General features: G+C 40.0%; 1 protein-coding gene, 1 long non-coding RNA gene and 1 pseudogene across 10 annotated transcripts, besides 2 other annotated features; 2 read left to right on the forward strand and 1 right to left on the reverse strand.

Moving 5' to 3' along the window:
- Window positions 5–576, forward strand: ZNF602P (zinc finger protein 602, pseudogene; annotated as a pseudogene).
- Window positions 6151–21672, reverse strand: ZSCAN16-AS1 (ZSCAN16 antisense RNA 1). 2 transcript variants are annotated; one of them, NR_103455.1, is made up of 3 exons: window positions 21101–21672; window positions 9979–10175; window positions 6151–7567 (listed from the first exon to the last, which is right to left on the reverse strand). It is a non-coding gene; the product is annotated as a ZSCAN16 antisense RNA 1 (long non-coding RNA). The 2 variants fall into 2 exon arrangements; NR_103456.1 differs by lacking the exon at window positions 9979–10175.
- Window positions 8609–9110: an enhancer, noted in NCBI's record as "H3K27ac hESC enhancer chr6:28092031-28092532 (GRCh37/hg19 assembly coordinates)". NCBI's record gives its function as "activates a minimal SCP1, AML or CMV promoter by ChIP-STARR-seq in primed H9 embryonic stem cells {active_cell/tissue: H9 hESC(primed)}" and the evidence as "EXISTENCE:reporter gene assay evidence [ECO:0000049][PMID:30033119]".
- Window positions 8965–14438, forward strand: ZSCAN16 (zinc finger and SCAN domain containing 16). Of its 8 annotated transcripts, none has more exons than XM_047419378.1 (4): window positions 8965–9033; window positions 9603–10186; window positions 11139–11277; window positions 13728–14438. In XM_047419378.1, exons 2-4 carry the CDS (start codon window positions 9800–9802, stop codon window positions 13787–13789), a joined length of 588 nt encoding a protein of 195 aa, XP_047275334.1. In that variant the 5' UTR covers window positions 8965–9033; window positions 9603–9799; the 3' UTR covers window positions 13790–14438. The 8 variants fall into 8 exon arrangements, with proteins under 8 accessions (XP_047275334.1, XP_016866813.1, XP_047275335.1 ...); XM_017011324.2 differs by having other exon boundaries at window positions 13786–14438; XM_047419379.1 differs by having other exon boundaries at window positions 9719–10186.
- Window positions 21843–22032: an enhancer, noted in NCBI's record as "active region_24344". NCBI's record gives its function as "activates an Ori minimal core promoter by ATAC-STARR-seq in GM12878 lymphoblastoid cells {active_cell/tissue: GM12878}" and the evidence as "EXISTENCE:reporter gene assay evidence [ECO:0000049][PMID:35858748]".

Below are 22944 nucleotides of genomic sequence, written 5' to 3' on the forward strand. Positions count from 1 at the left end.
AACTGAGAGAAAATATATGTGTGATGAATGTGGGAAAACATTCACTCAAAACTCAAGCCCCATTAGACATAAAATAATCTGTACTGGTAACACACCCTCTTCATGTAATGTATGTAGCAAAACTTTTACTCAGAGCTCACAACTTACTGACCATCAGAGAATACATAGCCATATAAAACCCTATCAGTGTGATGAGTGTGAAAAAGTCTTTTATTACAGTTCATATCTTATTCAGCATTGAAGGACCCACACAGGAGAAACCTTTCCAATGTAGTGAGTGTGGGAAAGTCTTTCATCACAGCTCAGATGTTATTTGACACCAGAGAACTCACACGGAAAAGAAACCATACCAGTGTAATGATTGTGGGAAATCCTCTCTGAGTTCATATCTGAGACAACATCAGAGTTCATACTGAAGAGAAGCCATAGCAGTGTAGTGAGTGAGGGAAAAGCTTTAGCTAGTGCTTGGGCCTCTTCTGTCACCAGAAAATCCACAGTGGAAAGAAACTATATGAATGTGACAAGCGTGGAAAGGCCTTCAGATACAGTTCAGCTCTTGTTGGACACCAGCGAATCCACGGTAGAGAGAAGCCCTATGAGTGTGATGTGTGTGGGAAAGCTTTCAGTAACAGCTCACATCTTTTGAGACACCAAAGAACCCACACTGGAGAAAAGCCCTGCAAATGTGATGCATATGGAAAAGCTTTCAGGCAGAGCTCACACCTCATTTTACATGAGCAAATCCACACTGGAAAGAAGCCCCGGTGATGTCAAGCGTGATGCAACATTGTTCATCTATGCTCATTCCTGTGGAACATCAAAAAAGCACAACTAGTAAAAGATGCCACCAATACAGTGATGCAGGGAACTCTGCAATCACTATTGCAATTTCAGCAGTCATTTAAAAATACAGCCAGGCATGGTGGCTCATGCCTGTAATCCCAGCAGTTTTGGAGGTGAAGGTGGGGGATCACTTGAGACCAGGAGTTCAAGACCAGCCTGGGCAACATAGAAAAATTACATATAACAAAAAATTACATACAACATACAAAAAATTTAAAAATTAGCTGGACATAGTGGTGCATGCCTGTAGTTCCAGCTACTCAGGAGTCTAAGGCAGGAGGATTGCTTGAGCTCAGGAGTTCAAGGTCACAATGAGCTATAATTACACCACCATACTCCAGCATGAACAATAGAGCAAGACTCTGTCCCAGAAAAAAGGAAAGAAAATACATGTGAAGGCTAAAATGGGCAAGCACCCGCAGGCTTGCTAAACAAGGCTTTCTGATTCTCTGCCATTAGGCACATCACCTGATAAACTGGGACTCTGAAGGAGCTTATTCCATACTCTCAAACTTTTCTCTAAAGCAAGTGGCTCAGGAAATCTAAAAATTCTATTAGATATGTATTGGAGGTTTTAGCAATTACTACTGTTCTCTTTCCCCTTCCCTTTTTCTCCTCTTCTATTTGTTTCTTTGAAGTTGGAGTAATAAACTTCTCTAAAGTGTGAAATTAGAATTAACATCTGATCTACATAAAAAAGCCTTGTATTTTTTTAACTTGATAAAATACTATAGCTTTTTACTTACTTACCCTAAAAGCACTGTGAAATACAAAAGCCATTTTGTAATATTAGAATGAATTATTATTTACACAGGTAGGATAGTTCAGTGAAGGTAAAATAAGATTCATCACGCAAATTCCCAGTAACCTTTCACATCTTAAAGATGGCAAACAGTCCGAACGGGCTGTATTTGGCCTGCACAGGCATTTCCCCCCCAATGCAGTATTTTAAAAAATATTTAAAACTATTGCCATTATTTAAGAATCTGGAGATTTCATATAAAATCTAACTTTCCAGATACTCTTACAAAAATGCATGACGTGACTACACTAGACACCACATTCCCACATGGCAACAGTTGATGAGCTGATTCATTCTACTCTCATCTAGAACATAAAGTACTAAAAATACTGCATTGGGGGAGAAATGCCTGTGCAGGCCAAATACAGCCCATTTGGCCTGTTTGCCATCTTTAAGATGTGAAAGGTTACTGGGAATTTGGGTGATGAATCTTGTTTTACCCTCACTGAACCATCCTACCTATGTAAATAATAATTCATTCTAATAATTCATTCAAATTCATTCTACTCTCCAGTTGGACATGGTCCTCCCTGTCACACAGCTTCTGTTGCCTTATACTGCCCCCTTCATTCAACCATTTAAACTGTGTGCCCTAAGGATTTCTTAGTGAGGCTTCAAGGACTCTAGATGCTTTACCACCCAAACAGCTTCACTTTCATTAGTTTTATATATTGGCCTTCCAATTAAATTTTTCCATGAAGAACAGGTTTTCTGCTAACAAATCTGAAGATTTAGATTAAAAATTTTAAATATATTCTTTGATCACCTGAAGTTAGAGGAAAGCCACTTCGAAATTTTATTTGGATAGAATTTGTAGGTAATCTACTGAAAGTCAACTATAATAGCTTCTAGCAGACTCCATAGAGACTACTTCTTTGGGTAAGATACAAAACACATGAAGTGGGTCAACATTAAGTGTAATAGTGAAAAAACACTGGGCCAAACGCAGGTATTAAACTGAGGAGAGAATCATTTACATTTGAAGCATTTAGTAATAGGAGCAGTTGTGGAAAAATGGTAGGATGGGGCCAAAATGGGAAAGTGGAGAGGTAGGGGGAAAAAAGCAGCTAAGAATAAGGGAAGGATGGGAATAAACTCTATGAGCAAAGGAAAGTGAAGAGAAATTGGGGGTAAAGGGAAAAAGTGGTTAAAAAGGACAAGGACATGACAAAAACAAACTGCAAAGAGGAAATGGAAGCCAAACTAGTGAAAGTATAGTAAGGGAGAAAGCAGCAAACTTTAGAGAAATGTGAGATGGAAGCTGAAGGTCTCTGGAGGTTGGAGTACTTTATGTTCTTTTTATCACTGTCTTCAGAGTAATAATCAACTTTTTATTTCCATGCCACGTAGGCCAAATGCCTTATATGAAGGATCCTAACCCAAATCTAAGTTTACTACTATTCCTTGAGGAACACTCAGGATCCTTGTCCTGTGTTAGTCTCTGAGTGTTGACATAGGATACCTCTCTTCTCTACCACTCTAGGCCCCAATTTGTTGAATCCTGCTCAGCCTAGATGTCACTTCAGCAAAAAGATTCTCCTGAGTAGCAAAAATATATGCTTGGCTTCTCCAAGAGGCATCCAGAGTGCTCCTTTGTGGGAAGAAGTTTGTCTATTCCCCCTCTCCATTCTGCAATAGTATTTTCTGAGATAATAATACCCATTCTAAGTTAAATAAATGATACATGCAAAAGGAAAAGCCCTTATAAACTATAGCAATAATAGCTGCCATTTGTTGAGCACTTACTGTGGTTCAGACATTGTACCAAGCACCTTATATATTTAATGTAAACTTTCCAATTCTTCTTTTAGGTTCTGTATATTTTCTTAAACAATGTATAGATATAAATTATTCTTATGAAAAGTTTATAATAAAATGACAAGTTTTTATTACATTAAAATGTCAAGTAGTGGGCTGGGCGTGGTATCTCACATCTGTAATCCCAGCACTTTGGGAGGCTGAGGCAGGTGGATCATGATGTCAAGAGATTGATACCATCCTGGCCAACACGGTGAAACCCTGTCTGTACTAAAAATTCAAAAATTAGCTGGGCATGGTGGTGTGCGCCTGTAGTCCCAGCTACTCAGGAGGCTGAGGCAGGAGAATCGCTTGAGCCTGAGAGGAAGAGGCTGCAGAGAGCCGAGATAGCGCCACCGCACTCCAGCCTGGTGAAAGAGCGAGACTCCGTCTCAAAAAAAAAAAAAAAAAAGTCAAGTAGCATTGCTGTGCTTGTGTTCATCAATGAATATATTACATAATATAATCACTGAATATATTACATAATATAATCATAATAAAATATTTAAAATATTAAAAATTGAAAGAAAATGACAACAAACTCAACTGTATTTAGGTGATGAAAATAGAGTGATTTCCCCCTTTTTCTTCCAATTTCTGTATATTCCAAATGGAAAAGTTAGAAAGAATTCATCATACACATGTAAATGCTTTTGAAAAATTAAAATGCTACAGAATTATCTGAGTCTAGAGATTACTCTTTCATAACTTCTTCAATTATTGTCTTTAGGGTAGGGTTGGTTTATTTAGATTTTTCTACTTCTTAAATGAATTTTGGAACTAATATTTTTTCCCAGAAAATCACTAATCTCATTGAGATTTTCAAAAATGTTAGCAGGCTACTTTCCTCTTCATCTGCTATTTGTGATTTATAATGTTTAAATGTTTTCTCTCAATTGGATTTACCATAGGCTTGTTGCTTTTATGGGCTTGTTAACAAACATTTTTGTATTTATTTATTAATGTCACTATTTTTCTATTTTCTAATCCATTTTATTCTGCTTTTACTTTTATTTTTTTCCAACTTTTTCCTTGGGGGCAGAGGAGGCTTTCTCCTTTTTGTAATTCCTTGAGTTGGATGTTTAGTTCATTTATTTTCTTTCTTTTTTCTATAATGAAAGCAAGTGAGAATATATATCTACCAAGTACTGTTATTTTTTAAACAGTCCACTGTGGGGATTTGTGTGAGGCAGGGGTGAGAAGGTTGGGGGCTTTCTGTTTTTGTAGTTTGGGAAGATACAGGGGGAGGAGAGGAAGGTCCTGCTTGTCATATACCATACTGTATACTTAGGCCTTAATGAAGAGGTCAGAGAGGCTTTATCCTAGTACAAGAAGAATACACCTAAGCTGAGGATAGAGCCAGGATTTTAACAAGATCTGCAACAGTGATTGGGAGCCTCCTTTTGTCTGGTGTTCAGCCACTCACGTTACCACAGCAGGTGCTCCAAGGTGCTAGCCAGTTGATTCTCTGAAGTTGGATGATGAGCCAGGGGCATGCTTGAAGAATATTCTGGGCTATTTAGGAAATTCAGGAAGGATGACCTGTGGCAGGTGTCATCCAGAAAGCAGGCTGGGCTTGTGCTTAAAAACCTGATGAGATAATTTAATTCAGCAAGATATTAAATAAAGAGGGCAAAACATACTGATAATACACTGTGCACTAAAGGGGAAGCAGGAAATTACTAAGCATCGTCTGGATTTTTTATCTGTTCAGTTGCCTATGAGGGACATGTTATGTCACAGTCAAGGGAAAAAGGGACTTTGTCTTTTGATCATGTACTTCTAATGGAAAGAAATGCAGGGGTTATCCTTTTTCTAAAATTTTCTTCCCAGAGTGGGAGAGTGTTCTAAAGCATATTTGAAAATTATTTATATCTACACTTTCTAAATAATCCACACAAATTTATTTGCTCACTTATATTTGCCCTTAAAAAGCACACAGAAGTTGAATCTGATTTTCATATTAAAGGAATTATACCCTTTTACAAGGCATAATTCCTTTAAGATGAAAGGTATGTATCTACAAAAGGTATATATATCTATGGAAGGATATACATTTCACAAAAAAATATTGTCAAACTAGATGCTGGGGACATTTATTCTTTCTAATAAATTTATGTGAATGCATTACTTATCTTTGACTTGTCAGGCAAAGAATTTCAGAGGAGGAAAATAGATATTGATGAAATTCTCCAAACAGGAAAATTTTTTTATAGGTTGTGGAGAATAAATAGGGTTTTAAGAACAATTATCTTTTCCCATTTATACCAGTAGCAAATCTTCATAAGAAATTGAAATGTTCCAGAAATATATAATGTATAAAATGCAGGTTCTCCTTAAGTTTACCCCCAACTGATACTCATAGTGAATTTTTTTTTTTTTTTTAAGACAGAGTCTCACTCTGTCGCCAGGCTGGAGTGCAGTGGCATGATCTCGGCTCACTGCAACTTCTACCTCCTGGGTTCAAGTGATTCTCCTGCCTCAGCCTCCTAAGTAGCTGGGACTAACAGGCACATGCCACCATGCCCAGCTAATTTTTGTATTTTTAGTACAGATGGGCTTTCACCGTGTTGGCCAGGATGGTCTCGATCTCTTGACCTCGTGATCCGCCTGCCTCGGCCTCCCAAAGTGCTAGGATTACAGGTGTGAGCCACCTTGCCCGGCCAACATTTTTAAGATAATAATTTTCACAAAAACAATCATACCATATCTTTTGTAACTTTTTATTTTACTCAATATACCTTTAGCATCTCTTAGTTTCTAAAAACTGGGTGGTATTTTAATGAATAGACATATAAAAATTTAAATTCCAAATGTTAGGCATTCAAGTTTCCCAATTTAAATAAATAGTGCTTCTTTGTACATACGTTCAAACATTTATGTAAGCATTTCTATATGGATAATTCCAAGAAGCTAAGTTGTTGAATCAAGGGGTATGGACAACTTCTTACCTTCTAAATAAGTCTTACCTTCTAAAAATGTAAAACTAAGTATGCCTGTATATCCACACACCTCCTAACACTGAATATTATAAATCGTTTGTCTTTAGCAATCTTAAAAATCTTTCTTGTTTTGTTTAAATTCTTATTAGTGAACCTTTTCATATTCACTATTCTTAATTTTGTGTTCTATAAATGTCAAGTGAGTCTGTGTGAAGAGAGTCCACCAACAGGCTTTGTGTGAGCAACAAGGCTGTTTATTTCACTTGGGTGCAAGTGGGCTGAGTCCAAAAAGAGAGTCAGCAAAGGGAGATAGGGGTGGGGCAGTTTTATAGGATTTGGGTAGGTAGTGGAAAATTACAGTTAAAGGTGGTTATCTCTTGTGGGCAGGGGCGGGGGTCACAAGGTGCCAAGGTGCTGGGTGGGGAGATCATGAGACTCACTGTCGGGGGCAGGGGGAATGTCACAAGGTCGATTGATTAGTTGGGGTGGGGCAGGAACAAATCTCAATGGTGGAATGCCATCTTTTGTGGTTCTTCAGTTGCTCCAGGTCATCTGGATGTATACGTGGCGGTCACAGGGGCTATGATGGCTTAGTATCATATTGTCAGAGGCCTGACAATAAATGCATGCAGGTTAAGTACTTTGTCTATTTTTCTATTGGCTTGTTCATATTTTTATTTTTTGGTAAGATAAAAGGTCTTTGTATATCAGGAAAATCAGCTGTGTCTTTTAGATGTGTGGCATATTTTACTTTTAGTTTATATTTTATTTTTACTTTTTTCATTCAAATATTTCAATTTTACAAGGCCAGTTTCATTTATCTTTTCCTCCATGGCCTTTTCAGTTTTATGTCTTTAGGGGTTTGTGTTATTCTTAAAAAGGCCCTTCCCACTCCAACTTTCCAACCTGTCTCCCTGCTTCTGCCCTTGCCCAACCCCTTCACATTCAAGTCTACTGTTAACATAGCAGCCAAAATAATAATCTCAATACCCAAGTTTAATCATGTTACTTCTCTACTCAGAAATCTCAAATGAGCCATGCTGGGTAGCTCACACCTGTAGCTCCAGCTACTCAGGAGGCTGAGGCGAGAAGATCACTTGAGCCCAGGAGTTTCAGGCTGCAGTAAGCTATGATCGCACCACTCACTGCACTCCAGTCTGGGTGACAGAGTGAGACCCATCTCCTAAAACAAAGGAAAAGGAAAGAAAAGAGAAAAGAAAATAAACTGAGTAGCTTATCATTTTATCATTTTAGAGTAAAAATACCCTTGCACTCACCCAAGGCTCTCACTATCTCTCCACCCAACGCTCTTTTGCTCACTCAGCTCCAGAAAAACAAGCACCCTTCCTTTGCCCAAAATACTTAAAACACACTCCACTCCAGGCTTTTGCATTTGTTATCCCTCTCCCTGAAACATCTTTATCCCTGATGGCCCATTCCCTCAGCTCCCTCAATCTTTGCTCAAATGTCAATTTCCTAGTCAGGTCCTCCATGAATATCCTATTTAAATTGCATCACTTCATTCTCACCCCAAATTCCCTATTTCCTTTATTTTCTCCTTAGAACTGATATCCACTCTCTATACACTATGTATATTTTTTGGTTTATTGCCTGCCTCCCCAGCACACACACACACACACACACACATACACACACACACAAGATTATAAATTCCATGAAAGGAAGGGCATTGTTTTGCTCAAAATTAGTTCCAGCTTCCACAATAGTGCCTGGCATAGTAGATAAATCAATATTTGTGTAAGAAAGGAGAAGAGGGAGTAAAAAACTAAGAGCATTTTTCACCCATCAATTTGGCAAAGATCAAAATATTTTATAACACTGTGTTGACAAGTATAGGTAAATAAGAATACTGCTAGTAGATCCTATGATTGGTGATTTGGCATTAACAAAAGTACAAATTTCCCTATTCTATGCTGTAGTAATTCCCTTTCTAGACATACAGACTATGGATATATCCTTACACATGAAAAATGATGTGAGTTCACAGTAAGTTATTGCAGCAATGTTTGAAAAAGAAGAATTGGAAACAACCTCATGACCACCAATGGGGTACTTATTAACAAATTATAGAACATAATACACAGTTGAATACCGTGCAGTTGTTTAAAAAAGAGCAAGATCAAGGAAACACTTATGTACAGCCTTTACCAAGACCACCTGGTAAAAAGAAAAATAAGAAAGGTACAGAAGTGCTACTATTTGTGCAGAGGGGAAAAAGCGCGGACAATCTATAACGGTGTAATATATCTACGGAAGGATATACAAGTCACGAAAAATATTGTCAAACTAGACGCTGGGGGACATTTACTCTTTTTAATAAATGTATGTGAATGCATTACTTATCCATATTACTCAATAATTAAACCGAAAAACGTTTTAAAGAAGTACAAATAAGACTTGCTCGCAGATCCCGCAATCCCATCAATACGAGGCGTAAAAGCCGGGTCCTCCACTGGCTAGGGCCGAGGAGGCAAGCACTCAAGCTGCCACAGAGGCGAAGCTTCCTAGAGCGGCCCGGAAGTGCCCGGCTGAAGCGGCCGGGCGCCGATTGGTGTCTTTGAGTCTAGTCTTTGTTCGGGGCTGTCCAAAGGACGCTAGCTGTTGCACCTGTTCCTCCCTGCGCGTAAGGTGAGTGTCTCCCGGCTCCCAGGTGGAGAAAAGGGGACAAGACGCAGCTGTGGTCAGCAGCAACACCCTCCCCACACCTCCCTGTCGCGGGCAGAGTGTAACACTCCTGTCCCTCCCTCCGCCCCCCAACAGATCTACAGGAGAGGATTTGGCCCAGCCTTCCGGGAGAGGATGGGTGGAAGGGGGACACTGGTTGCGGGTTCCTCTGCAGAGGCATCTGTCTGATCCCCTTCCAGGGTTGGCACACATATCCTATAACCAGTGAATCCTGGGGGCACAAGCTGGCCCGTGCATCTCATGGTAACAGAATGAAGAGCCTTTTAACAAAGCCGTTAATAATACTTGGCGTTTATTTAGTGCTTACTAGTGCCCGCTGCCATGCCAGGGACGTTGCATACGTTCTCATGTAATCTGTATATCAACCCTGTAACACACATGAGAATTGTACCTGAGGATCTGTAGTTCTAGTCCAGATAAATAACTTCCTCTAAGTTACACAATAGAGCACAGATTCAAATCATATCCCTGCGTCACTGTTTTTTGTTTTGTTTTGTTTTGTTTTGTTTCAGCTTCCTATAAGACTGTTTTCTCTGATTGACTTCTGGTGGCTTGGCTTCATTATGATGTGTTTATGTTCACAGAAATTTTTGTAATTTCTCTATGGTAACAACTTTTTATGCCTTAGGAGTGTCTCTGAGGCAGGATTCTAAGAGATTCTCTTTGACTCAATCCCAGATAGAGGATAAATCTCCTGGCAAAGCCCAGAATGACCACAGCCCTGGAACCTGAGGACCAAAAAGGACTTCTGATAATTAAGGCAGAGGACCATTACTGGGGACAGGATTCCAGCTCACAAAAGTGCAGTCCTCACAGGAGGGAACTCTATAGACAACACTTCAGGAAGCTCTGCTATCAGGATGCACCTGGACCCCGTGAAGCTCTTACCCAGCTGTGGGAGCTCTGCCGTCAGTGGCTGAGGCCAGAATGCCACACCAAGGAGCAGATTTTAGACCTGCTGGTGCTAGAACAGTTCCTGAGCATTCTTCCTAAAGACCTGCAAGCATGGGTGCGTGCACACCATCCAGAGACTGGAGAGGAGGCAGTGACGGTACTGGAGGATCTGGAGAGAGAGCTTGATGAACCTGGAAAGCAGGTGTGAAGGGGCAGTCATCTGGCTGTGAGTGATCAGGGGATATGGATGGAGCCAAAGCAAAAGGCATATGAAAGAACATCTGAAAATATTTATCCTCTAAAGAACAAGGCATAGGAAGGGACCTGACTACCTATGTCAAATAATTAAAGTGTGGCTGGGTAAAGAGAGGAGAGTCACTAGACTGATTCTATGCCTGTTTGGAAGGCTAGGATCAGTGGGAAGTTACCAAAAGGCAATCAGGTATCAGAGGAAAAGAAATAATTTTCTGCCATTCATAGATACCCATAAATAAAATAGGCTACCCCATAAGAAACTCCCTTTCCATATAGGTATTCAAGCGGAGATTCAAGTAGATGTCAAGGATATTGCAGAATAGGACTGTCCAACAGAAATATAATGCAAGCTGTATATGTATTTAAATTTTCTAGTAGCCACATTAAAAAAAAAGGTGAAATATATATTTTATTTAGCCCACAATATTTAATCATGTAATCAATATTTTTAATGAGGTATTTTAGATATCTGTGCTTTAAATTTTCAAAATTTGGTATGTATCTTACATTTAGCTTATCTCATTTGTACTAGCCATATTTTAAGTACTCAGTAACCACATTTTGCTAGTGACTACCATATCGGATAGCATGGTTATAGAAGAAATGCTCCCATTTGCTGGAAGTTGGGCTAGATGATTTTTAAGCTACCTTCCAAATCCCAGTGCTCTGATCCTGGACTTCTGCAGATCAATGAAAGAAGAGACGTTGAATTTTACTCTCTAGTGTCCTGAATTGTAGAGATTAGCCTCTGTTCCTTCTCCTAGCCATTATTGCCATTTACAATGAAATGAGAATTTGTCCCCCCTTTCTATGTCCCTGGAAGATGTTTCATTTGATTGTTTTATCTGAAGTTACTTAAGTTTCCATAAAATTCACCTTACACACCTCATTTTCCCTAGGTCCCAGGCAATTCAGAAAGACGGGACATACTCATGGACAAGTTGGCCCCCTTGGGAAGGCCATATGAATCACTGACTGTCCAGCTCCATCCCAAAAAGACCCAGCTGGAGCAGGAAGCTGGGAAACCACAAAGGAATGGTAAGCAGGAACAGTTCTGAGTGTATGAGGGTAGAGGTACTTCCTTAGGTTAGAGGAAAACTTTCTCACTTTCATCTTCTCCTTTTAAAGATTTCCTGCTTGTCCTCCACCTCACTATGGACAATTTTATCCTCCTCTTACCCTTGCTCCATGATGGAGTTATATTTTAGTTTCTCACTAGACAAAAAAGCTGCTATTTGGCCCAAGGGATGAGGATGGAGTTTATTTAATATCCTTATAATTCTGTTGTTATCTAATGATTCTTGTTCCAAATCCCCCTAAATTTCCATTTTGAGACAGGAGAACTTATGGCACTCTGTATTAGTCAGCGAGGCCTGTCATACAGAATACCATGGACTTATGGGTGGCTTAACAGAAATTTATTTTCTCACAGTTCTGGAGGCTGGAAGTCCAAGATGAATATGCTTACAGGGTTAGTTACTAGTAAGGCTACTCTCCTTGGCTTGCAGACCTCTTGCTGTGTCTTCACATGGCCTTTCTCTGTACACACACACTCCTGGTGTCTCTTCCTCTTGTAAGGACACTAGTACTATTGGATTAGGGTCCTACCCTTATGACCTTATTCAACCTTAATTACTTCATTAAAGCCCTATCGTCATATACAGTAATGTTTGAAAGGGGTTAGGGCTTCAATGTATGAATTTGTGGAGGAAGACAAGTCAATCTATAACACATTCCCATGATGAAAGAAGTAGGGAAGAGAGACAATGATCAGTCAATACAGCAAAGTTTCTTGTTTTTATCTGCATGTCAAATTAATTGGGTTTTATCCCCCATCCCAGCTCCCTAATTACAAACTAGGGTGTCTAGTGTATCCCCAGGCTACATTAAAAAGCTGGTGAATTTTAAATTCCAGTTTATCCAAACCCTACCTTTTTCAGTGCTCACCACCCTTTCTCTAGAGGCTCCCATGTCTAATAATGCCTCTCCGGGTAGTTCCTTATACTCTAGCCTATTTTGTATTCTTACTACTTAAGTTTTACCAATATCCCATCCTGTAGGATCCCTACCAGATGATTTGTCTAATCTGAAAAATTATTTTGAGCTAAGATGTTCCTAGCTGCTATCTGGAAAGGATGACATTTAATTATATGTAATGTAAAGAAGCCTTTCAGTGCTTTAACTCTAGGAGTGGAGTGCTGGTTACTGTTTGGCTTTAGAAGTGACGTTAAGAACCTCCTATCTGTTCTTTTTTATTTTTATTTTATTTTATTTTTTTTAGAGGAGAGGTCTCACTATGTTTCCCAGGCTTGTCTCAAACTCCTGGGCTCAAGTGATCTTTCCACCTTAGCTTCCCAAAGTGCTAGGATTATAAGCATGAGCCACTGTGCCTGGCTCAACCTGTCTTTTGATTCATTCATCTTTCACTGAGTATTTACTAAATAGCAGCTATATGCCAGACACTATACTAAATGTAAGGAATCCAAAGGTTAGACACTTACATTACTTCTCTTCAAGAAGCAGGAGAGTGAGCACTTACAATAGTGTAATAATTACCATACTAGAGATACACCGTGAACTACAAAGAGGATAGCTATCCCTGAGGTGCACCTGCAAAAATATCACAGAGTAGGCTTGCTTGAGCTGAGAAGGTCAGGTGGGAGCTGAAAGGGGGTGACATTTTAGGCAAAGAAACGGTGAAAAAAAATAGCATCAGAGAATAACATTCTAAGAATAGCAACTGCTCTGAGTTTGATTCTGATAAGGAGTCGTCTGTAGGAGGGAAAATCAGCAATGTGTGTTTTAATAAACGATCCAGCTGATTCTGATGCACAATAAGGTTAGAAACCACCGAGCTAGGATTTAGACAGGAGGTGATGACAGCAAGGACATCAGTTTCAGGAAAAAATATTTTACCCAGCATATACACTGACTATCCATTGTCATTTCCTATTCCTTTTCATTCCTCTATTTACTCTGACCTGCATGTTGTCATGCTTCCTGCTTCCAGCTAATTATTATCCTTCAAACACACTCCCCTCCTTGGATGGTTCCTATTCACTATATTCCTCTCAGACCCCAAATCCTATTATCCTCTCCATTCACTTTTACTTGATTTTACTTGCCACCTATGTTTCAGGCCCCTGCATGTTTCTCCCAAACTTTTACCTCCCTCCCCATCTCTGTTCTCCAGTCTCTCTAATTATCCTTGGCATATCTATAGTCCCCTCATTTATCCGTCTTCCCTTACATAGTATTGCTAACTTATCTCTTGAGCTCTATTTTTGCCTTTTCTTCTCTTAATCTACTCTCAAACAACTTGTTCTGCTGATATCTTCCTTAATTCTTAATTTCTTCCTTACATTGTGACTCTGTGCTATGATGATACCAAAAATAAGATGGTACCAAATATTTGATATGTGTGTTGTATGTGACTTCTCATTATTTTATAACACATTTATAACATTTACATGTTCTTTCTTCCATAGGCTGTTTGCTTCTCAAACATAGAATAGGACCCGTTTGTGTACTGTTTGTTTGTTACAGGTGATAAAACTAGGACTAAGAATGAAGAGTTGTTCCAGAAGGAAGATATGCCCAAAGACAAGGAATTCCTTGGGGAGATAAATGACAGACTGAACAAAGATACTCCTCAGCATCCTAAGTCCAAAGATATTATTGAAAATGAGGGCAGATCAGAATGGCAACAGAGGGAAAGAAGACGATATAAATGTGATGAATGTGGGAAAAGTTTCAGTCATAGCTCAGACCTTAGTAAACACAGGAGAACTCACACGGGAGAGAAGCCCTATAAATGTGATGAGTGTGGAAAAGCCTTCATTCAGCGCTCACATCTCATTGGACATCATAGAGTACACACGGGAGTAAAACCCTATAAATGTAAAGAATGTGGGAAAGACTTCAGTGGGCGCACAGGTCTTATTCAGCATCAGAGAATCCACACAGGTGAAAAACCCTATGAATGTGATGAGTGTGGAAGGCCTTTCCGAGTAAGTTCAGCTCTTATTAGACATCAAAGAATTCATACCGCAAATAAACTCTACTAATATAGCAGTAATATCAAAAGTTCTTTGGACACTCAGGCCTAACTAGTTATCAAAGAATCTATTTTAGAAACCTTGAGTTTCCTCAATGTGGTCAAAGCTTCAGTCATCATTAAACTTCTCTGGACCAAAGAATCTACCTGAGTAAAATATCCTTTTATTTCAAATTAGTTCAGTTTTGAGGGGGAATCAAGAATTCTTTCAGAAAGCCTTGTCCACTGACAACACTGCTCACCTGCAGCCCAAGATCAATGGTTCCTGGATGAAAGACAGTGAATTAATTCTGTCTCTGCTCCAGGTCCTTTTTAGTTGACCATTCAGTGTCTGACTTTAGGCAAGACAAGACATACACATTTTTCTCTGCCTTCATTTCCCCTTCTGTAAAGTACAGATGATAATAGAGGCTTACCAGGTATGTTTCGACAAGTTAAAACTGATGAAAACTACTTTTGAGATTAAGATATAAAACAATGCTAATTATTTGTTTTCCACCATTACTCATATAATAGCCTCAACATCCCTTTTTTATCTTAAAATGGGGAGTATGATTATTTTTTGGAAATTTTTGTTTGCCAATGATAAAGAATAAGCCATCAGAAGACAGGAGGCCAGCCTGGTCAACACAGCGAGACACCACCTCTACAGAAACTTAAGAAAAATTAGCTAGGCATGGTGGCACACACCTGTAGTTCCACCCAACTATTTAGGAGGCTGAGGTGGGAAGATCACTTGAACCCAGGAGTTCAAGGCTATCGTGAGATGTGATCGCACCACTGCACCCCAGCCTAGGCAAGAGCAAGACCTTATCTCAAAAAGAAGAAAAAAAGGCTGAGGAAAACAAAATGGAGGAGGAGGCAGTCTGTGATCATTAGGAGCTGCTGGGGAGAGGAAGGAATCTATAACTAGATATAACTTCTTTTCTGGATTTCAGGTTATTTTAAACTGAGGGAGATAGGAAGGGGTTGGTCTAACTTGGTCCAGTTTGTCCAGATTGGTGGCCAGTACCCACATTAACTCAAATAAAATGGAAAATTCAGTTCCTCACATTTCAAGTGCTCATAGCTACATGTTAGTGGCCACTATATTGGACAGCACAGATACACACCTTTTTTTTTTTTTTTCTTTTTTTTGCCCAGGCTGGAGTGATCCTCTGTTCACTGCAACCTCCACCTCCCGGGTTCAAGCGATTCTCCTGCCTCAGCCTCCTGAGTAGCTGAGATTACAGGCATGCATCACCATGCCTGGCTAATTTTTGTACTTTTATCAGGATTTTGCCATGTCAGCCAGGCTGGTCTCAAACTCAAGTGATCCGCCCGCCTCATCCTCTCAAAGTGCTGGGATTAAAGGTGTGAGCCACCACACCTGGCCACATCTCTAATTTGAGAATCTTATAGCATGATAGGAATTGTGGCCATAGGCCTTGCACATTCAAATTCACACCACCAATCAAACTGCCAAGAGCAGAGCTCTGGTTCTTTACTTAGTTCTAGGAATAAGGATCACCAAAACAATCAGGAAAGAAGTGATCTAATCTCTTCAAATCTCTTGTTTTCAATTAAGATATTTCAATTGAAGATATTTATTAAGAACAACTGCTTTATCATTGTGTTTAAGATCAGGAAAACTATAAGAATCATTTTTATGTCTATAACTGTAGGAAGATGAATCTTTTAAAAATAATAATAAAGAAAGAAAGAGTCTTGCTCCATTGTCCAGGCCGGAGTACAGTGGCACAATCATACCTCACTGCAGCCTTGAACTCCTGGCTGCAGCCTTGAACTCCTGGGCTCCAGCAATCCTCCCACCTCAGCCTTCCAAATAGCTGGGACTACAAGTGCACACCACCATATCTGGATTTTTTTTTTTTTTTTTGAGATAGGGTCTGACTATGTTACTCAGGCTAGTATCGAATTCCTGGCCTCAAACAATCCTCCCATCCTCCTCCCAAAGTGCTGGGATTACAGGCATGAGCCACCATGCCCAGCCAAGAAAATGAATCTTAAGGTATTTCTCATAATGCCCTAAAGATAAACTGAGCTTTTATGTCCCTTTAACATAATGGTCCTTTAAAAAAATGTATATTTACTTTGAGTATCTTACATCAACACATCTTTTAAATGTCAGGTTTCACACGAATACTTGTTTTATAACTTACTATATTTACCTGAGTAATATTTCAAAGTATTTGAAACACTCAAAGAAAGGATTTTCTTTAATGGTCATGAAGAGAAAAGTAAAGTAAGAAATATTTAGTATTAGTATTAGAAACATCCTTATTTTAAAAATAAAGTTAGGTGCTTTCTGAATAATGGCTTTTCCCCTTTTACCTTTAGTCTTTCTGAGAAACACTACAATGCTTAGAAACTGCTCAGAGTCTTTAAAGGGGAAACTCATGTTTCTGATCCTTGAATTTAGGGAGGCTTCTGCAATGGTAAGAAAGATGATTTTGGCTATCCTAAGATTAGGTTTCCTAAAATTGGTAAACACATGACAGACTGATTTTCCTTTATCCTCTGTATGAGCAGTCCCCAACCTTTCTGGAACCAGGGACTGGTCTCGTGAAAGACAATTTTTCCAAGGATAGGGAAGGGGGTATTGTTTCATTTATCATTAGATTCTCATAAGGAAAGCGCAACCTAGATCCCTCGCATGTGCAGTTCACGATAGGGTTTGCGATCCTGTGAGAATCTAATCCCACTGCTCATCTGACAGGAGGTAGAGCTCAGCTTTGCTTGCTCACTGGCCCCTCACCTCCTGCTTTCCTGGCCACGGTAGGGACTTGGGGACTCCTGCTATATATGACAGAACATTCCGTTCAGCTAGTAGTTTTGAATACCTATTATGTACAAAGAACTGTTCTAGTCTTAGAGTCCTGCACCCTTAAAGGCTGAGTGAAGAGTAGTCTGGAGCACTATAACCATTGTACCCTTTTTAGGTTTTATGTTGATTCCAAATTGCCACCACAGTGCCCACCACAGGTTTGGTCTAATGTTAACCAGAAGGGTAATGGTAAGAGTCAGGGAGGGACATAAAGACATGGGGCCAGAGACAGCCTAGAATGATGTAGGTAAGAGAAGAACAGTCAGTGGGATCTAGGATAACTGCAGGCAAAAGGCAAAAGAGGCATGAGGTCAAAGAAAATCTAAGTAGTTGCTGGTACTCTGGAGATGCAGGCAATGTCTTAGTAAGCATGTAGAAACCCACAGAAGAAACTGGTGGGAGTGCAACTAGTTGGAAAGAACACAGCTCAATCACAGCCACACTTCTTGGAAGAGGAGGTGTAATATGTTGGACACTATCAGTTCTAGCAGAGAGCTATCCTGAATGGACAGCACCTGGTCTGAAAAAAAAAAATACAAAACAAAACAAAAAAAAAACCTGAACATGGAAAGCAGTTCCTCAGAGAGTTGTGTCAAAAGCAAATGTGTTATTGTTCTTCATATCTTTTTGGAGGGTTTTTTTTTTCTGAGGGAGGAGGCAAGAATTTATATTTTGTAGTTTCGTGGACTAACAAGACAGTAATTACAACAGACAGCTATAGGGAATATGGGGGACAGCTCTCTCAGACACAGATGGGTTGGTAGTGAACTGGCAATTCTAAGTAAGGGTGTCAACAGGTATGAATGGAAGAAATAGATGAGTGTTGAGGGAGGGTCTATAGGAGGTATCAGTGGGTATTGATGAAGAGGGGGAAAATGAGAAAGGGATGAAAAGATAATAATTTGATGAAAAGAAAAGGATGAAAAGAGGAACAACTATAAAACAAGGGATGGAGATAGGAAAGATAGACAAGTGATTCTAATATATTGGCATCAATTGTTGGAGACAGTGGATCATATGATACAAGCCATATAAAGGTAAAAAGACCAGCTCCTGATCCCAAGGTGCTTTGAGTCTTACGTGTACAGCACACACTATATTATCTTTATTAAATGGTCTACATTCTCATCTTGAGCATGAAATTATTCTATTTTAGTCTGATCACAAAATCCATCAACAGTGGAAACAAATGGAAACTGAAATGCTTCAAAACAACCTGTTTTTCCCATGGTAATATCACAAGGGAGTTAGGCTGAGGTTTTAAAAGAGTGGGTATGTCAGTCTTTCTTATTCAGATCCTCTAGAGCAAGGTTTCTCAACCTTGAGAAACTATTTCTATTGACATTCTGGGCCAGACAATTCTTTGATGTAGGGGCTGTCCTCTGCACTGTAGGATGTTTAGCAGTATCCCTGGCGTCTACCCACTAGATGTCACTAGCACTTCCCACTTGTGATATCCAAAAATGTCTCCAGGCAATTTGGTGGGCAGGCTGAGTGAGGCAAATGTCCCCTGAGAGGCAAAATCACCCCCAGTTGAGAACCCCTGCTCTATAGGAAAATAATCAGATTTCTACGACTCTTCCACATCATACACAATAAAATTCTACTTAGAAATGCTACATGTGGCCGGGCACAGTGGCTCAAGCCTGTAATCCCAGCACTTTGGGAGGCCGAGGTGGGTGGATCATCTGAGGTCGGGAGTTCCAGACCATCCCGACCATCATGGTCAGGGTCTCTACTAACAATACAAAATTAGCCAGGCCTGGTGGTGCATGCCTGTAATCCCAGCTACTCAGGAAGCTGAGGCAGGAAAATTGCTTGAACCCAGGAGGCGGAGGTTGCGGTGAGCCGAGATCATCGTGCCATTATACTCCAGCCTGGGCAACAAGAGCAGAAACTCCATCTCAAAAAAAAAAAAAAAAAAAAGAAAGAAAGAAATGCTACATGTGACCAGCACTACTGGACCCTTTTCCTACCCCAGAAAATTATTCCCAACATACCTAAAATCTATGCAGCCTTGATGCTAAAAAGTAGTCTACTTTAGAAAGCCTTACCTCATTTACTAGTGAGGACTAGTAATGTGACTTAAATGTGACTTGCATAAACAGCTTACACTGCATTTTTGCAGACCTTCCCCTTCCCTCCTTGCCACACTTCTGGTGCAATTTTCTTCTTTGCCCCTTGACCCAATCATGAATATAGACATTTTATCCTTGATCTAAATCTGTGCTGTCCAGTGTAGTAGCCACGAGGTACATTTGGCTCTGCAACTGAGGAACTAAATTTTTAATTTTAATTAAACTTTAAAACTCATAATTCACTAGATAACTTTTAAGTATGTTTGAAATAATTTGGATATGTGAATCTATTTTTTTATTTTAAATTTTATGTAATCTCAATATAGATTATTTATGAAAATATGTGAATTGAGATGTCCAATAAGTATAAATACACTGGCTTTCAAAAAATGGAATATAGGATATTTCATTAATAATTTTTATATTGATTAGATGTTGATATAGTAATATTTTGGATATGATGGTTTAAACTAAAGATAATTTCACCTGTCTTTTTACATTTTTAATATGGCTATTAATAAGAATGTTTTAAATTACATAGGTGAATCCCATTATATTCCTATTTATTAGATAGAACTGACCTTCAGTTCTGCAGAAAACCATTCCACACGAAAGGGAGAGGTAATGCAAAGTCTCTGAATAGGGATGAATTTGGTGTGTTACAGGAACTGAAAAAGGCCACGTGTTGAAAGCACTGGATTAAGGGGAAGGTGACACAAGATTAGGTTAGAGAGGTGAACAGGGGCCAGGATGTGTATTCTAAACGTGATGGGGAACTACTAGAAGGGAGGAACATAATCCAATGTTTGTTTAGAAAAGATCATTCTGGCTCCTTAAAGAGGCAAGAATGAGAAAAGAGCAGAAGTAAGGAAATCAGTCCAGAGGCTACTGTAGTAACCCAAGTGAAAGAAGGTAGTGGCATGGACCATGGGTTCACAGTGGATATAAAGAGAAACAAACAGACTTAACGTACATTTTGGAGATGAAAATATAATCTTGCTCATTGTTGTAGATTCCTAAATTCTGCTTGAAAAGATGTTTCTGTATTAGGTTAAACAAATGAAATCCCTGTTTTTGTGGGTCAAAATGGTTAAATACCAGAAATGTAAAATGATTTAACCTAATAGAAACAAATAACGACAGAGAAGAATCAGAGGAATGATACAGGAGAAGGGACGTTGAAATGGGGCTTATTTATTAAAATGAAAATTTTTATTGTTCTCCTTAAATCTCTGTGGAAGCCACCCTTATCAAAAAAAAAAAAAAAAACCCTTTGTTGAAAGGCAAATTGCCAACAAACCCGATGAGATTCAGAACACTGCTGCAATAACATATCTCTGTAGAAACTTATACTTCCATCTGGATAGCAAATTTCCTAAGCTGATAAAACCAGGTTATCAATGAAAGGCCAGAGTACAGAATTTAAAGGAAGAATGCCTGGGTATGAATCTTTGTTCTGCCAGTTACTAGTTATATGACCTTGGCTAATACATTTTTCTCTCTGTGCCTCAGGTTCCCCATCTGTAAAACAGTATTATAATGATATCTACCTCATAAAGTAGGAATTAAATGAGTGACCAAATGTGAAGGGTTTAGAACAGTGGCTGGCCCATAATGTTAAAGTCTTAGCCCCTAACAGCGCACTTAGATCTTTTTGTTAGCATTAAATTCAGCATTTTCTTCCTATCAAAGCTGCTTAAATCAGTTAACTGGCATTTGATCTTCGTGGGCTCATTGTATTGTTGCTGTTGTGTATCTTTTTAAATAATACTCGTAATCTTAACAATTAGCATAATTTTGAACCGCTCCCTAATACCTAACCCCAATCCCAAACCGGACGGTCGAGCCTATCCACCGGCAGAGAACACCACCCAATCTCGCCCTCACTCTGACACTCACCGGCCAGACCTTTTCTTCCGTCCGTTTTCTGCCTCTGGCCCAGGGCCCAGCTCACGTAGCGTTTTCGGGGGCTGTTTGGGAACCGTTAGCAACCGGAAGTGGCTAGAGGTCGCGAGAGAACTGAAAAAGGGGACCGGCCTTTCCCGGCTGCCTAAGCACTTGGGTTCCGGCCTGGAAGGAGGCCCAGGGCTCCCACAAAGAGAAATAAGGGACCTATTTGGATGGATCCCAAGAAACACTGTCTGGCATCTGATTTGAACGAGGCTCGGCGCAGCCGGGCCCTTTTCGCAAAGTAGGCCCACTGCAGACCTGTGGGAACCTCCGGGATGCCTGGGGACCCGCATCTGCCGCTACCCGCAATTTCCTATCCCGACCCTCTCTGCAGTTGTCGACCCCGGCCGGCGGCTTTGAGCGTGGGGTCCCGCAGACCCTGGCACCTAGGGGGCCGAAGCCGAGGGATCTTGGGGTAGAAGAGCGGTCCTACAGAGCTGCCGCTTCGAAAGAGCCCCCAATCGACCGCTGATGGGGAATGGAGGATTTTGCTGTTTTATTGCAGCCCGCCCCCGGAGAAAGGCGGGCTCGGACGTTCTTGACTTTAGGATAGACTGGGGAGGGGTGCCGAGGAGCGTTCTTCCCTTTACGTCTCGCGGTCGCAGACTGTATTTGCTGGTGCCCTGCTCACTGTGATCTCGCAGGACCTTGCGGACTTACGGAGACGAAAAGTGGCCTACTTTGAGCTTCTCTGATCCTTAGGGGAAATGAGTGTCCAAAGAGAAATAGGTGCAGAGTGCCGGCACTAGAATTCTTTAAACCTGGATTCAAATTCTGACTCCACCACTCTCCAGTTAGGACTGAGGGCAATTTATTTTTAACTTCTCCAAGCCTCTGTTTACTCGTTTATGTAACTCAGGCTAATAACGTAGTGTCTATTTCATAGGGTGGCTTTGACTATTAAGTGTGAGAGTGCATGTAAGAACAGTCTAAGGGAATTTCCCTGCCTTTCCCCTTGTCTGCTGTCACTCTCATCCGTGTTAGACAAATGGAATTAATTAACCAACTTCCGCTTTTCTGAAGCACGGGTAAAGAGTGAAGTGCAGGACTTGGGTAAAGGAAAAACCAAGAAGGATGCAAAAGATGGATGGTCATTGTGAGATCCACAGAGGTGCTCATCCCAGCACTTTCACCTCACTTGGCATCTGTCACATGGTGGGTGCTTGATAAGTACATGGGTGAATGAGGACCTACCTAAGCAGAAGGAATTATTGAATAAGACTAGAATTGCAGGGAGAGGATGAATCAGATTGATTAGCTACTTGACAAAAAAAGGCAAACCACTCTTCCTGTCAGAAATGTATGGCACATCTGCATATTTCAAGGGCTGCCACTTACTGCAACTGGGAAGGAGATCTCAGAACCGACACCTCAACTATGGAAGCTTTAATCTATTGACAGCAAATGCAACATAGCAAGTAATATAAGACAGAATGTGATCAGTGCAAAATCGAATAATAAAGTCTTGAGAGGGGGTTATTAGAATAATAGACGAGTGTTTAGATTGAGTAGTGAGCAATGAGATAAGTCCTTTGACTTGGGGGTACAGGGGAATTATGACCAGGGGTATGGGATAGGGAGAAGGTCATTCTGGAAGGCAATAAAAGGCAGACAGGACGCTAGTGGTAGAAAAAAAGGAAAACACTTGTTTATCAATGTAAATCAATGGCGGAAGAATTACATATGACATATGCTATTGAGGAATACCTTTCAACCGTTCAAATGACAAAAGGAGTGTCAGAACAATATATATTCCATTTTTGTTGAAAAAATTTGTTTATATAGATATAATT

This window comes from Homo sapiens, chromosome 6, assembly GCF_000001405.40.
Source record: "Homo sapiens chromosome 6, GRCh38.p14 Primary Assembly".
NCBI lineage: Eukaryota > Metazoa > Chordata > Mammalia > Primates > Hominidae > Homo > Homo sapiens.

Excerpts from the sequence above, each read along its gene's own strand:
- ZSCAN16 (XM_017011324.2), top strand. The coding sequence starts at position 9,800 with ATGACCACAGCCCTGGAACCTGAGGACCAAAAAGGACTTCTGATAATT. Across the intron at positions 10,187-11,138 it reads TTGATGAACCTGGAAAGCAG|GTCCCAGGCAATTCAGAAAG; the intron begins GTGTGAAGGGGC and ends CATTTTCCCTAG. Across the intron at positions 11,278-13,785 it reads TGGGAAACCACAAAGGAATG|GTGATAAAACTAGGACTAAG; the intron begins GTAAGCAGGAAC and ends TGTTTGTTACAG.